Source organism: Homo sapiens, chromosome 6 (assembly GCF_000001405.40).
Source record: "Homo sapiens chromosome 6, GRCh38.p14 Primary Assembly".
Lineage (NCBI taxonomy): Eukaryota > Metazoa > Chordata > Mammalia > Primates > Hominidae > Homo > Homo sapiens.
In genome coordinates, this window is record NC_000006.12 from 63367032 (window position 1) to 63383869 (window position 16838).

General features: G+C 38.0%; 1 protein-coding gene across 3 annotated transcripts in view; it reads right to left on the bottom strand.

Annotated features, from left to right (window-relative positions):
* LGSN (lengsin, lens protein with glutamine synthetase domain) overlaps positions 1-16838 on the bottom strand; it is a 297657-nt gene that overhangs the window by 91081 nt on the left and 189738 nt on the right. For all 3 annotated transcript variants that reach the window (XM_047418866.1, XM_017010930.3, XM_011535892.4), the window contains 2 exons: positions 15334-15525; positions 12265-12435 (listed from right to left, as the gene is read on the bottom strand). The gene's annotated coding sequence lies outside the window, so the exon portion shown is untranslated. The remainder of the gene's footprint in view (positions 1-12264; positions 12436-15333; positions 15526-16838) is intronic.

The window sequence follows — 16838 nt, forward strand, 5'->3', positions numbered from 1 at the left end:
AAGGACTTCATGTCTAAAACACCAAAAGCAAAGGCAACAAAAGCCAAAATTGACAAATAGGATCTAATTAAACTAAAGAGCTTCTGCACAGCAAAAGAAACTACCATCAGAGTGAACAGGCAACCTACAGAATGGGAGAAAATTTTTACAATCTACTCATCTGACAAAGGGCTAATATCCAGAATCTACAAAGAACTTTAACAAATTTACAAGAAAAAATCAAACAACCCCATCAAAAAGTGGGTGAAGGACATGAACAGACACTTTCCAAAAGAAGACATTTATGCAGCCAACAAACACATGAAAAAATGCTCATCATTACTGATCATCAGAGAAATGCAAATCAAAACCACAATGAGATACCATCTCACACCAGTTAGAATGGCAATCATTAAAAAGTCAGGAAACAACAGGTGCTGGAGAGGATGTGGAGAAATAGGAAAGCTTTTACACTGTTGGTGGGACTGTAAACTAGTTCAACCATTGTGGAAGACAGTGTGGCAATTCCTCAAGGATCTAGAACTAGAAATACCATTTGACCCAGCCATCCCATTACTGGGTATACACCCAAAGGATTATAAATCATGCTGCTATAAAGACACATGCACACATATGTTCACTGAGGCAGTATTCACAATAGCAAAGTCTTGGAACCAGCCCAAATGTCCAACAATGATAGAGTGGATTAAGAAAATGTGGCACATATACAGCATGGAATACTATGCAGCCATAAAAAAGGATGATTTCTTGTCCTTTGTAGGGACATGGATGAAGCTGGAAACCATCATTCTGAGCAAACTATTGCAAGGACAGAAAACTAAACACTGCATGTTCTCACTCACAGGTGGGAAGTGAACAATGAGAACACTTGGACACAGGGTGGGTAACATCACACACTGGGGCCTGTCGTGGGGTGGGGGAAGGGGGGAGGGATAGCATTAGGAGATAAACCTAATGTAAATGACGAGTTAAGGGGTACAGCACACCAACATGGCACATGTATACATATGTAATAAACCTGCACATTGTGCACATGTACCCTAGAACTTAAAGTATAAAAAAATAAAAAAGAAAAAAAGAAGCCAGAAAAAAAGAAAAAAAAAGAGGGAGCAACTTTGAATTTGACTTTTCGTTGTTTTTTCCTGACTGGTTTTGAAGTTAAAGACGCCTGCTCAGAGACTAAAGTGCATCTTACAACAACCAGGAATCATGGCATTTCCTGGGGACCCTTAAAGGCTATCTGGTCCAAGTACTCCTCTGATGGTGAATCTCTTACGGCACCCTCCTTACAGCTTTATAAAATTCCCCTCAGCACCTTTAGCAGCAGAAATTCAAAATCCCTGACCTAACCGTCTGTGGGAACTTTCTCACTCTTGTCCCCTCCGTTCCAGAAATACAGTCCTGTTGGGATTCCCAGAGAATGCCAGGCTCTGCACTTGCTGCTCTCCTCTAGACTCCTTCTCAGCTCACCACTTCCCCTCCTTCAAGCCTCTATTAAAAGGTCACCTTTTCAGTAATTGTTTCCCGGTAACACCGTTTAAAATTAACGCTCCTCCCCCCACTCCACACACGCAGCATGTTGCCACTGCAGTGTTCTTACTTCCCTCGTCTGCATTCTTTTTCTTCAAAACATCTATCAGCCTCTAATTTTTAAAATTCATTTATTTTGTTTATTGTCTGTTTCCTCCTACCAGAATGTAAACTTAATGAAGACAAAGATTTTTATCTTGTTTTGTTTACTGTTATGTCCTCTGGAGTAAGAAGGAAGCCTGGCACAGAGTTACTGCAAAATACATATTTGCATACAGAATGGATATTTAAACACATACCCCATCAGTATTCCTCTATTTCTGCTAAAGAGAAGTTGACCAAAAACCATCAACTTGTTCCAGGTGAGCCACATCAAAATCTTAACACAATGATGACTACCTTCAATTACAGTTGCGGGAAATCCAGAGACTTTCCTTCACATTGGTGCTGCTCATATTTGTCTCTATAAATGTTGAGGGTATGTCTTTAAATCTGAACAAGGAAGGGAACATCAGTTTAAATGTGCTGTTTTATGATGATTTAACTTCATACACAGATAAATGTTGGAGCACCTGACCAGAGAATTCCTACAATAATACCACCAAACATCCATCCAGCATGATCTGTAGGCAGAGTCTTAAGTCATGTGACTTGCAATATGTATACTTGCTACTTTTTGAAGTGTAAATAGATGTCCATTATGACTAATAAATATACCAGGAGAAATATTTCTACATTGGCTTGAACACATTCATATGCAGGTGTAACTGAAGGTATTGAATATTAGGTGGCAACAATGCTAGGTCACTTGAAATTTATTCTGATACTGAAAGGCTCCTGTTGTAAAATAACGTCGTTCATGTCAGGTTATTCAGTGTGACAGGCAAAGTGGTAGTTTGCCACTGTGTTTACAAATGAGAATCACCTGGGAAAATGTGGAAGCACTGATGCCCAGTCTTCACCCTAGAGGTTCTGCTTTGATTGTTGAACCATGGGGCCTATCAGTTTCTCAAGCTCCCCGTGCAGGTAGGTGGAGAGTCAATGCAATAAGAAAATGAATATTCTCTAGGAAGTGACTGAGAGAACTGTTAGACTTATATATTGAGTTTACAGAATTCTTTCCAGAAGCACACTCTCTTAATAGGAATAGAGTACTCAAAGCATTTAAGAAAAATAAGGCCAGGTGAGGTGGCTCATGCCTATAATCCTAGCACTTTGGGAGGCCTGAGCTCAGGAGTTGAGACTAGCCTGGGCAACTTGGTGAAACCCCATCTCTACTAAAATACAAAAAATTTGCTGGGCGTGGCACATGCCTGTTGCCTCCCAGCTATTCAGGAGGCTAAGGCATGAGAATTGCTTGAACTCAGGAGGCCGAGGCTGCAGTTAGCCAAGATCAGGCCACTGCACTCCAGCCTGGGTGACAGAGTGAGACTGTGTATCCAAAAAAGAAGAAGAAGAAGAAGGAGAAGGAGAAGAAGAAGAAGAAAGAAAAGTCACATTTCTCTTCCAGGTATTTGCAACATGGAGATTTACAGACATTAGAATTTTGATAATAGAAATGCAATAATTTCAGCTTATTGTAAAGACTTTTGAACTATTCATGCCAGGTAACATCCCCCTCAAGTAAGAAGTCACATTGCAAAGTCAGAGCCCTGAGGTAGATCCCAGAACAGAGTAACTGACAAGATGTGCTGGCATGGTATCCCAGGTACAGGTATAGAAGCTAAATCAACCTAGGTAGAATTTCTAATTCTGTGACTTAGTAGGTGTGAACACTCATAGTTTAACTTCTTCGTCTATAAAATAAGAATCCCAAAACCTACTCAGAAGGACTTATAAGCAGAGCTGTACAACCAGGGCAGTTACACGGTCATGCAGATTCCCACACTCATGTAAGCCTATGTTTAGGGTTTAATGCCCAGAGGCCACTACCTTGAAATTCTTAATTTTCTTTGACTTTGAATTTTGTAAGTGAACTCCTGTGGGACATGGAGCAGGCACTGGAGGCTTGGAGCCTTGGCTCACATGGGTCCTGCCTACGCATCTATCCAGGATGAGATCTCAAAGATGCTCTCCTCACCCAGAAATCACTGGTGCCCTCCACCCCCAGCTGAGGCCTGGGCAGGGGCACAGATTGGGGCAGGGCCAGATGTAAGCATTCTGCTTGCCAAGTATCAGGGCAGGGCTCTGGGTTCCTGTGAGGGTTTGCACTCATCCTGCAAGTAGCCCCATGCCAAGAAAGCACAATATTAAATAACAAAATTTTTAAAATGCTATGGCTAGTAGAGAAAAAAACTTTAGAAATAGGAAAAAGCATTTTTCCTGCTTTTTGAACAAGAGGCCTGTGTTTTCACTTCACACCGGGCCCTGCAAATTACATAGCTGGCCCTGCTTGTGAAACGTAGATTTTTATCATGCGCAATTTTTGCGTATACATCAAAAAAGAAACATAAGACAAACAGATTGGTTCTGTCAGAGTGGAAAGTCTAGCATCTAGCATATATTAATTTCTCAAAATGTTAGTTAGCGTTCTTCTCTATCATTATCTCTTTCCCTTTCAGCAAAGCAAGTTATAAAACTACTAATGAGCATTTACTGAAAACTAAACTGTTTCTATTCAGACAAATCTAAGTAGTTAAAAAACATCCTAGAACATATCCTGGGTGCTCTTCTAATGCTTTCTATTTTCTAGAATCTTTGGATCAGGACCAAGGTCAGTCCCTGCCATAGCAATTCAAGTCACAAGGCCCTGTCATATAAGAACCAACTTCTATCAACACTTTTATAAACAACCGAACCAAGAGATTTGCTCTGTAAACCACTGAAAACGGCATTTCCTCTAGGGAGACATATTCAGAACAATTAGAAGTTTCCACTCTGACAATGATTTGAGATTTTGAACTATATTAAATACTTTTTTTAGAAATAGATGGAATATAAATAAAAAATGAATGTAATCTCCGTTAGAGCCATCTGGTGTTGATATTTCTGCTGTACCTCTGGAGAACTCCTAAGAGCCAAAAGGAAAGGAAGTCGTAATTCTGTTCACTGCAGCTGCTGAAGTTGTCACCAACTTTTTTTCTACATTTACCTATAAATGAGAACCAGCAGTCAAAATAACACATTTTCTTAGTATAAAGAGTTATTAGTCAAATAGGGAATGATTTACATTGTTATAACCCAATACTAATGACTTTTGGTCCTTTAAAGTTCCTGGATTTAGACAATGTAATTTCTCAGGTGTGGGCTAATAATGGGAGAAAAATAGAGGCCCAGAGTAGTTTTGGTAAAGAACTGCTTATTCTCAGTTCATAGTTTAACTGCAGCAAACACATTTTTCCCTTAATCTTCCCTTTGCAGAGTAAATACAGTATTCTCAAATCTTTTCATTTTTCATGAGAAAGGCTTTTACTCTAATCTATGCTTATTGTCACTGATGTCTGCAAAATTGCTTCCAATCTGGGTCTTCCTTGAGTTTGTTGACTTTAGAAATTACGTGTACTTGTCTCATGAAGGTAAATAGGCTATTTTGTGACTACAAAGTCTCTGCTTATGCTACTACTCTTGTTTCATTCATCATGCAAAAGAAATACAGTGAATAAAACAGACTCCTCTGGGGCTACTGTGTCCAGAAGACCCCAGGTGGGCTGCTTAGTCCCGGGCTGTTGACTATGTAGTAAAACAAAAATAAAAATCTTCCCAGCTCTCTAAAACTAATACCCCATGAAGTACCAAGATGTGTGAAACTGTTCAGTTAGGCTTCATTTCTTTGGTCAAGCTGACCTAGGGCTCTGTACCCACAAAAATCCAAATATGCTGAGATAGAATACTGAGTGATGCTACTGTCTTTCCTAACTCACTTCAAATAAATTGATCTGAATTTTTTTCTAAGAGCAGCTGTGTCCCTATGTGTGGAGGAGTGGGTGGTAAGAGGGGGGGAAATAATGATTAGATGCCACCAACGGGATTTTCTAAATAGCAAAGAATTTATTCTACTTCAGAGTTTTGACTAGGGCTCATCATGCTGATGATACATTGTAAATTATTTTCATCTGACTTTCTTTTAGAAAATATAAGAATACAATTTAGAGGGAAATGAAAGCAAAGAATAAAATAGTAAGGACTATATCAGCAAAGTCCTTATCCTATAATGTCAAATCTTCCATCATATGGAATCTAAGACACCATAATTGTAAAACATGCCATAATGTACTAATAAAAAAGAAAAAAACAAACCATGACAAAAGGCTTTCCTAACACTAAGAATATTCATTTATACTTATTTTAAAAGTTCTTTTGTACTTAATTATATGTAGATTTTTATTATACATCATTGTGTGCACATACCAAAAAATTAAGGTAAATAAATTGGTTATTTCTTTCTACAATTTTTTACATCCAAGTCTAACTTTTGGGCTCAGTCTCATGTTTTAATTTATTTCCACAAAATATCCTCTGTTACATTAACTGCACTGGTGACACAGCATTTCATAAAATAATCTATCAAAGAACCAAAGCCATTGGTGCTACTTGAGACTATGTAAAGCTGGCTGACATCCCTTTGACTCCCAATGCAAGCAGCTTGCAAACACATGTGACTCACCACCTCCCTTACCTCCTCCACAGCCATTTTGTTCCTATGGTTTAGAAGAGTGCTCAATTAAGAAATGATGAAAAGAAAAAAGATATTTAAGTGAGCACAGAGTTTCTTCCTACATGATACATGTTGATTACCAAAGGAAAAATAGTAACTACAGTGTGGAGGAACCTGGTGACGTCATGTTAACCCAGTAATCAAAGTTAACATCAGTGATAAGACAAAATGACATCATCAGGTAACTCCTAATATGCTACACTGAAAATAAATATCTGTGATTTTCCTTACCCGCTTCTCCTCCACCACAGAAAGTATAACCTGAATCTAATCATGAAGAAACATCAGAACAAACTCAAATTAAGATACGTTTACAAAATAACTGGCCTGTAATCTTAAGAAATGTTAGGTCATAAAAGAGAAGGAAAGATTGAAGAATTTTTCAGATTAAAGGAGACTAAAGAGACAAGACAATTGAATACAACATGTGACCCTGACGAGAATTATTTCTTTTGCTAAAAAAGGGCATCTGTGGGGCAGGGAGTGGTGGCTCATGCCTGTAATTCCAGCACTCTGGGAGGCCAAGGCGGGCTGATCAATTGAGGTCAGAGGTTCGAGATCAGCCTGGCCAATGTGGCGAAACCCAGTCTCTACCAAAATTACAAAACAATCAGAAGGCTGAGGCACGAGAATGGCTTGAACCCAGGAGCTGGAGGTTGCAGTGAGCCAAGATGGGGCCACTGCACTCCAGCCTGGGTAACAGACAGAGCGAGACTCTGTCTCAAAAAAGGCCAGGGTGGGGTGGCGGGGGAGTGGCATCCATGGGACAATTGACAAAATTGGAATGTCTAGATAAGAATATTTCATCAATGCTAATGGACTAATTTTGATGTCTGTACTATGGTTATGTTAGAAAATGACCTTATTTTTAGAATATACACATTGAAGTATAGTATTATTTAGGTGTAAAGGGCATTGTGTCTGCATGCCCGAAACTTACTCTCAAATTATTCAGAAAAAAAAACACCAATATATATTACTTAGATACAGATAGAATGGTAAAACAAAATGTGGCAAAATGTTATCTTTGATGCAAATTATTTGCATCATTTTTTTCTGAAAGTAGGCAATTATTTCAAAACAAAATGGTTTCAATAGAGCGCCATGATATTTTTCTGACATTTTCTTTGAAATAGTTGATACTCCTTCTGCAAATTTTGTTGACAGTGCTTCTAGGTTCCAAAAAGAAGGGTAACGCCACTACAGCACCTTTGCCATCTGACCAGCAGCAATTCTAAGATGTCATTGATTCTAAGATGCATCTCAATTCCCAAGATGTTAAAATGAACAAAATACATCACTTAGGATCATAAACACATTTTAGTTGGAATAGACACATTTGAAGACCAGATTTGAACAATGATCCTCCCATTTAGTATCAACATTAGTTTACTACTGCCACTGTAACAAATTAACACAAATGTAATGGCTTAAAACAAGACAAAAGTGTTGTCTTATGGTTTTGGAAGTCAGTTCAAAATGGATCCACAGGGAGGCTGGAAAGTAAAATGGTTTTTCTTGTCTTCCCCAGCTTCTAGAGGCTGCTTGCATCCTTGGCATGAGGCCCCTTTCCGTTATTGTCTTCCACAGTATCCCTGATAACAAAACCTACACCTAGCTCAGGTATTACATGTGCTACTCCTGAACATCTCCATCTCTTGCTTAAGGAAATATTGCTGTGCAAGTACAGTCTTGTAATAAAAGGAAATTGTGACTGGAAAAGAGAAAAAAAAAAGTTGCTGATAATAAACATGTTAGGAAAACCTGATCTTGGGAAGACAGTTTGACATTTTGACACAAATGTTTCCTAATTATCATGGGAACTCTGTTTAGGCTATAAGACTCTATTGTTATTGATGTCATTGTTGATTTTCCGGGGCAATAAGAAAACATGTTATCAAGAATTAATTCCGTTTTTGTTTTTTAATCATTTTCTTTTTTAACCATTGACTGAGAGATACAAATTCTAGAAATTAAGGAATTCCAGAATTTTAAAATTGGGTTAAATATATCCAGAGCTGATAAAAAGCAGTATAGAGTGGCCAAAAGAATACATTATTGGTGGTCCTCATAATCAATTTGACTTTCTGTAATTGTATTAAATTAATTCTTACACATACATATATGTATATATTAGAAGAGTGCTTGACAACAATTGTATAAGTGTTAGCTATTATTACTATATATTTATATTTATATTATTATATAGCAATTATGATCTTTCTTGGCAAATATTACTACTAGTTTGCACTGAAATTGCAAGAAAAGCTGGATCATAAATGGAAACATTTTTTATTCAGATTCCCTAGGTTGATATATGAAGCAAAATATGAAAACACTTATTTATGTGGATATGTATATATTCGTCTGTACTCACCATCTACTTTATTAGTTGTTGGAGAGATTAGAGAGTAATGCATTTAAGGCAGTTTGCCTTTGGCTGGTACATTATTTTTAATAATAGGTTTTATTATTTCTCAACTTTAAGAAACTTTTTAAAGGGTCAAGATAATGCTGAGTTTGGAAATGAGATAAGAAAAACAAGAGAGAAAGATAGCATGTTAGGAAGTGAGTAGAAAATTACTTCCTTTAAGTGAGATAATTCCCTAATCAAAAATATTGCCTATGATATTGATAATAATTGCTAATGTTTTTTGAGCATATACTATGTTGTAGGTATCATGATAATCACTTTCTACATATTATCTTGTTTGGTCCTTAGAACCAAATGAAGTGAATGTTGTATTATCTTTATTTTGCCTAGGGATTAAGTAATTTTCTTAATGTCACAAATTAAATATAATAGTACTGAATGATATCAAACCCAAGCAGTCCAAACCCGTTCTAACACACTGCTATGCTCTCTCCACGATATATGATTCTTTACTCCACAGACCTTACTTCATACCAGATTATTTTGCCCATGTTCCCCCGATGCTTGCTAATTGCGCTTACATTTTCTGTGTTTTGTCTCTCTAACCATTCCTACACTCTTCAAAGGCAGAGAAAAAGCTTTCTATTTCTTTTTTACTTAACCCAAAAGCTTATTAAGGGCAGAACACAGAACGTTTCTGAAGAAACACCCTGGGCTCACAGCAGAGAGCAATGCAGATAATAAACACCAGGAGTACTATCTAAAACCTAAGAAACATCAAAATTATACCCTTTCCTCACTTTTCTTAATCAATACTTTCTATTTATTCAGAGCCAAGCTTACAAAGGGTAAAGATTGCCTTGATGAAGAGCAAGCCCTCTGTCTACTGATGCTGACATCTAGAAAAATCACTATGCTCAGATTCAATATTCTGCACTATAGCTCCCTAATAGACTCAAACAAATGGCAATGGATACACTCAGCCTTTTCTGAGCTTCTAGAAAACATTCACCTATTGCATTTCTCTTTAACTTCTTTTTTAATTATCTGACTGCCTCTTACCTGAGCCCAGTAGAATTTTAAATATGAGAAAGGAATCATCAGAGAATAGGCTTAAAATGAAAAAAGGAAATAGGAAATTGTATTTTATTTGACTTTTTAAAACTCATCTACTTTCAGATTGAGTCAGTTTGCTAGCTAAAACAAGATTTTGGGGTGAATAACTTTTACTAGAACATACAAAGTGCATTTTAACAATGGTCTACATTCACAAGTGGCCACTATTCTTGTCCAAACACAATTCAGCTGAGTGTTCCTAGGCTTCCAAACCCAGAACAAAGCAGAACAAAAGAAAAATATAGTATTTGAAGTGCCTTGCTTGTGCTTTTCTAATCTAAACAGACTGCTCCCATATTAAGAAAATTACTTTAGGTGCAAATGATACCTCAAAAAGAAGTAGATAGATATGCACTGATTCTTTTTGACATTATAATTTATAGCTTAAATTAATTTTAGACTAATTTTCCTCTTACTTAGAGCAAAATATTGCTAAGGGAACAGCCTGTCTTCATCTGACTTATAGTAAACATTTGCCACTTAGTATTCTGAAACCAGCTGGCTTTTTTAATCTTTGGCAATAGACGCTAACGTATCCTTTATGAATTATGGCAAGCCAATAGGCAGAGAGCAACCCAGAAGGTGTAAGAGGTCTAACAATCAACCAGGCAATAGAATGGGGGTTGGTAACCATCAACTGCATGCCCTGAAGGCAAATTTTCCACAGCTTTCCAGATGCTGCCATGCTGCCTCCCTCACTCCACCTTTTGCCCCAGCTCTCCAAACTCAGCCCTGGGGAGTTGGTTCATTCAATCCTTCAAAGAAGTGCAAGGATAAAGAAGCAGGAAACTAATTACCTCATGGTGTGATAAGTGCAGGATAATTCTATAGAAAGAACACCTAACGTAAACCTAGAAGATCAAAATAAGCTTCCCAGAGAAAGTGATGTTCTGACCAAGAAGAGAAGAAAAGAGTTAGACACTTGGGCCAGGCACGGTGGCTCACACCTGTAATCCCAGCACTTTGGGAAGCCGAGGCAGGAGGATCACTTAAGGTCAGGAGTTTGAGACCAGCCTGGCCAACATGATGAAACCCCATCTCTACCAAAAATACAAAAAATTATCAGGGCGTGGTGGTGTGCGCCTCTAGTCCCAGCTACTCAGGAGGCTGAGGCAGGAGAATCGCTTGAACCCGGGAGGTGGAGGTCGCAGTGAGCCGAGATCGTGCCATTGCACTCCAGCCTGGGCGACAGAGAGAGACTCCATCTCAAAAAAAAAAAAAAAAAAAAAAGAAAAGAAAAAGGATGAATAACAAGAAAGAAAAACAGCCTTATTGCTGATATGGAGAAAGGTTTTAGTGGTCTAGGTAGAAGATTAAACCAGATTTTTGAAAAAAAAAAAAAAAAAGAAAAAGAGACACTTGAAGAAGAGATGGAAAAGCAATCTAGAAAGAGAAAAGTATTTGCAAAGGATGACAGGTAAGCATGACCAAGGAACTGAAAGAATTTCAGTTTAGCTGCAGCATCTAATGAACACAAACGCTTAGGGATCTAGAGTAATGGAGACAACATCTCATATCCGCAACAATAGAAACATCTGGCTTTCTTGATCACCACAGCAGGGGAACAGACATCTGAATGACTTTTATATACTTCAGTCTAGAAGTGACACACATCACTTCTACCCACAGCCTATTGGTTAGCACTAGTCATATGCTTCTCCCACCCCACCCCCAAAATTATAATGACCTAGAAAAGTAGGGGCAGATGTAATGTTTAATGCATACCACTGTCTCAGGTATAGGCATGATATTAATGGCTGTCTTACTCTATTTGTGTTGCTATGAAGGAATATCTGAGGCTGAGTAATTTATAAAGAAAATAGGTTTATTTGGCTCATAGTTCTGCAGACTGTACAGGAAGCATGGCACCAGCATTGGCTTCAGGCCACTTCCACTCATGGGGAAGGCAACGGAAAGGCACATGCACAGAGATCACACGTGAGAGAGGAGGCAAGAGACAAAAAGGAGGGAGATGCCAGGCTCTTTTTGAATAACCAACTCTTTGGGAACTAATAAGAGTGAGAACTCACACAACCCCACCCCATGCTGACAGAGCATTAATCTATTCATGAGAGATATGCCCCATGACCCCAACACCTCTCACAGTCCCCGCCTCTGACACTAGGAATCAATTTCAACATGTGATTTGGGGGACAATATTCAAACTATAGCAATTACTTTGTAAGTCATGTTTAAGCAGTTTGCTTTATTCTGAGGGTATCAAAGAGCCAATAAAGAATTTTAAGCAAGATAATTAAAGGACTGGATTTAGAACTTTTTGCAGCTCGGCAGGGTTTCCTCCCCTATTACTTCTCCTCACCTCTAAGTGGATAGGCAGTCTTTCAGAAAGCTATCCATGGAAATGATGCTGTTAACAAATATGAGATAGTTAAAATCAACAGAATGATCCATTGTCACCCCCATCCCTCAATTAAAAGCATGTGCTTTTTTGAGTGCCTCAGAGAGTAAATGCCCCCCCCTTTTTTTTAAAGCTCCTAGTTATGGTGTAGCAGCCTTAAGGAAGATGGATCATTCAGGCATAGTCAGGCACTGATATGTTTTAGTAAACAGAACCAAGAGAAGGGGATACCATGAGGCCTGAGCTTTGAAAACGAGGAGACAACTGCTGTTGTTGGCACATCCTTTCATTCCTTCTAGACACAAGCCTCAGCAGACATCCAGTGCCATCAGATCACTCTTAAAGAAGGGCCTCAGCGTAGCATCCACAGCTGGTCACTACTTCCTCAGGGATGACTTGCACCTGGGAGGAAAAATAGGATAAAGGTGGAAGTGCAGTTGATGTTGTTTCTTTCCTTATCTGTATTGCCAATAAAATTGCCTTTTCAATTTTTCTCAGTGATTAATATTTGTATGATGTGTGTGTATCAAGCAGACTACAGCAGGTCCTCTTTAGCTCCTCTTGCTCCAGTGGTCAATAACTCAGTGATTAGCAGAAGCACCTCAGAAGCTTGTTAAAAATACAGAGTCTTAGTTCATGCATTCAACTTACTTAATCAAACTCTCTGGAGTAGGATCCATGAAGCTAGTTTTAGTTGTTTTTGTTTTTTTACAAAAATTTTGCAGGCTTGTAAAATGTTGCTGTAGTTAATGTAGAAGCAATCTGCCATATAATTTTTTTCTTTTTTTTTGCGATGGAGTCTTGGTCTTGTTGCCCAGGCTGGAGTGTAATGGTGCAATCTTGGCTCACTGCAACCTCTGCCTCCCGAGTTCAAACAATTTTCCTGCCTCAGCCTCCCAAGTATCTGGGATTACAGGCGCCTGCCACTACACCCAGCTAATTTTTTGTATTTTTAGTAGAGACTGGGTTTCACTATGTTGGCCAGGCTGGTCTCGAACTCCTGACCTCAGGTGATCCACCGCCTTGGCCTCCCAAAGTGCTAGGATTACAGGCATGAGCCACCACGCCCGGCCTCATAAAATTATTTTCTAGCTAAAGATCTACTATGGCTTTTAGTCATTTACAGGGTTTTGTTTTGCATTATTTAAATGTGTCTGTTTCAACACATCTCTCTCAAAAAAAGTTTTCAAAAAACCAGAGACCTTGTCTTCCTCCTGTTGAATTTCTGTGCCACTTTACACATTGGTAGGTACTTGGCAGACATCTAAAAAATACAGAATAGAAAGCAATAACATCAATTTGAATTGGTATTCTTGATGGAGATGAGTCTGCAGACGCATATCACAGGAAAGGAAACAGCATTCCTCCCTAGGGCACAGACCTATTTTTATGTTCAAGCTGCTCCTTTTTGGTAGACAGCGTCATAAGCATCACCAACTTAAGTCTGCTGTTTGACAGGTGGAGTCTTATGTGATTGACTTGATAACATTCACTTTCTGAAAACATTTTTTTTTCAGCCTTCATAGAGAAGTTACGGAAGGAGCATTTTTATTGCCATGTTGCAGGTTAGCCAACAGGATAAAATTTGTTCATTGTGGCATCAAAATAAAAAAATAGCTCTTTTCTTTTTTTCCTAAATTTTTGTGCTCTTTATCCTCATTCTAGATGCCAAAAAGGTATTTGCCTTTTATATGCATGTTTTTGCTTTGTATTTAATACAGGTTTGAATATTTCAGAAACTTTATGAAAATATGGAAACCCTATTTGGAATTTGATCTCAATTTGCAGAAAGAAAGTTCAGGAAATTTTTTTTCAGTTAAGAGACAAACAAACACCTGTTAAAAGTGATGGGCCAGGCGTGGTGGCTCAGGCCTGTAATCCCAGCACTTTGAGAGGCCAAGGCAGGCAGATCACTTGAGCCCAGGAGTTTGAGATCAGCCTGGGCAACACGGCAAAACCTCATCTCTAAAAAACAAAATACACAAAAATTAGCCAGGCATAGTGGTGCACACCTGTAGTCTCAGCTACTCAGGAGACTGAGGTGGGAGAATCACCTAAGCCCAGGAGGTCGAGGCTGCAGTGAGTCATAATTGTGCCACTGTGCTCCAGCCTGGGTGACAGAGTGAGACCCTGTCTCAAAGAAAGAAGAAAAAAATTTGAGAGACAGCAGCTTATGATGCCAAATAAAACATATGGATGTCAATTAATTTCAACTTTTCTGCAATCTGTATGCCAGTTTCATAAGGAAATAGTTCAAATCAGGGCATCCACAGGAAGAAAGTAGTTGGTTGATGAAATTTCTTCCTCTGCTCAAAGTTTAACAACCGCTCTTAAATTTCATCATGAAATGCTTGACCTTGGTACTGAAAGAAAAGAGTAGTACTAAGAAAAACTGCCTTCTTCTATAGACCACACCCTTCTTGAAAATAACTTCTTATGAAAAGTAATATCAAACAGGCTAGCATTTCCTTCATAAAAATTATCCAGTAAGAAAGCCTTCTCAGTGCAACTGGTTAATACCATTTAAAATTATTGTTTCTGAAAGACCATGAATATCACAACTTACCTCATCACCACAAGTTTGCAAATTAACCCATTCATCTGGAAAAACTAAGTTGGACCAAAATGGCCATGATAACTATAATTACAATAAGAAGTTATAATAAAATGCAGGTGGCTGCTTGATATTGCCATTTCATCTTGTCCAGCTCCAGACACAGCAAGCAATGGAGCTCAGAAATTACCCCCAGATTATGGCATTATAGCTCAAAGCATAGTGCCCTCTAAGGAAACAGAAATGTCTCTCTGTCATTAGTTGAATGTCAACAAAAAGTCACTAAGGGATAATATTGTTTTTTTAATTCCAAAGAAAATGTTTCCTGACTACATGACAACTCTTAAACACTATATCACATTTTCACACTCATGCTGAACCTACTAGCACACAAATTAAATTCCTGGTACCTTAAACATAAAAGCAATCAACCAAGTGCTATTCTTCTTCAATCATTAAGGCTTCTCACTTTCAAGAGGAAACAAAGCTTAAAACAGGACCCTTGAATATTGTATTTCCTCTACAAAATGTATTATATTTCATAAGCAAGCATTTTAAAATAGATAATGCCATCCACATTGAAGAGAACTTACATTTTTATATAGACTCAAATATATCTTCACTATAAATACTTACTAGTAATAATATTTATTTTAACAGTGAAACCCTAGTTAACCAAAATTATTGGTGTATGTATACAGTACATTGAATATGTCTTTATGCATCCTTTTAGACTTTCACCTCACCTGTCTTGCATTCTGGCTGCAGGTGAAGCAACCAGTCTGTGCACTTCCAACCACTTTAATATAGGTTTTCTTTTACAGCACCTTGTCTCAGACCAGTCCCCAGGAGCCTCTCATCTTCTGCCCAGGTGTTCTCTGTTGACCACACTATGTGAGATGACACAGAAGCATGTTTTGCACCCATGCATGTGTTACCTAGGAGGGTAAAGCCAATCATTTGACCATTGAGAGATACAGGTTTCTCACTGTCTCAGAAGGACAGTCCTAAGACACATTTTATGTGCCTGGGTGATTGAGGAGCTAGTTGCCTGTAGACATATATACTTGATAATACATTGTCATTTTGCATCTCTCTTCTGTTTGGCTCACCTTTGATCTCTGGACTCAATACTTCCCAATAAAGTGTTTTAAAACAAGACTTTGTCTCAAGCTCTGCTTCCTGGCAAACCCAAGCTAAGATATAACTGTACAACATATACATATATAATAAGAATTACTGCTGTCACATACTGTTAAGTTACAACAGTTCAAGAATGGGTAAAAGTAAATACTGTTACCATCATTATTAGCCATGAAAAAGACAAAAGGGATTATCTAGCTCAATGATCTTTCTAAGTTTATGTAAGACCCACATTCTAATTAATTAAATAGCTACAGGCATATGTATCTCAAATTCAAAAGACTGCTTAACCTTTCCTGCTTTTGTTCATGTTAAGAAGGAAAGCCTTAAGCACCTTTAAAAGAGCAGATTTATTTGTTTGTTTGTTTGTTTGTTTGTTTTTATAGAGATAGGGTATAGCTATGTTGCCCAGGCTGGTCTCAAATTTCTGAGCTCAAGCAATTCTCCTTCCTCAGCCTCCCAAAGTACTGGGATTACAGGTATGAGCCACCACATCCAACCAAGAGTGGATTTTTTTTTTAAAACTTTCTCAATGACAGAAGGGAAGTCAACCAACTCATAGGTTCATACCCACACAAAATAGCACATAAACCTTGTTTAACCATTACTTACACACACACACACACACACACACACACACACACTCTTGCATGCACATACACAGACCCAGGGGATCAACAGCATATTCACACAGGGATAAGAATACACCAGAACAGAATAGACCAAAACTTAGAGATAAACCTTTTGAACAGGGCGTTTTTTTAATCCAGGTAACTACTTGATGATCATAGTGCAAATTATGCCCTCATAAATAAAAATAAGACACAAAACAGATTATAGAAATTCTAAGTCTTTACTAAACTAATTTTCTCAGATTGTGCTGGACACAGACAAGTCATATACTAGATTCAATGCCATTAACTATACACTATAATAGTTTCTAATATCCATGTATTACCTTATATTTTAATAACTTTTTCACTGAGTTGTCTTATTTAATCCTCCAAATCTGTGAAATAATTGACTTTATCATTCCCATTTTACAAATAAAGATCAGAGAGGGTAAATAACTCATAGAGGATACAGTATACTGCCTGCACTGCAAAGT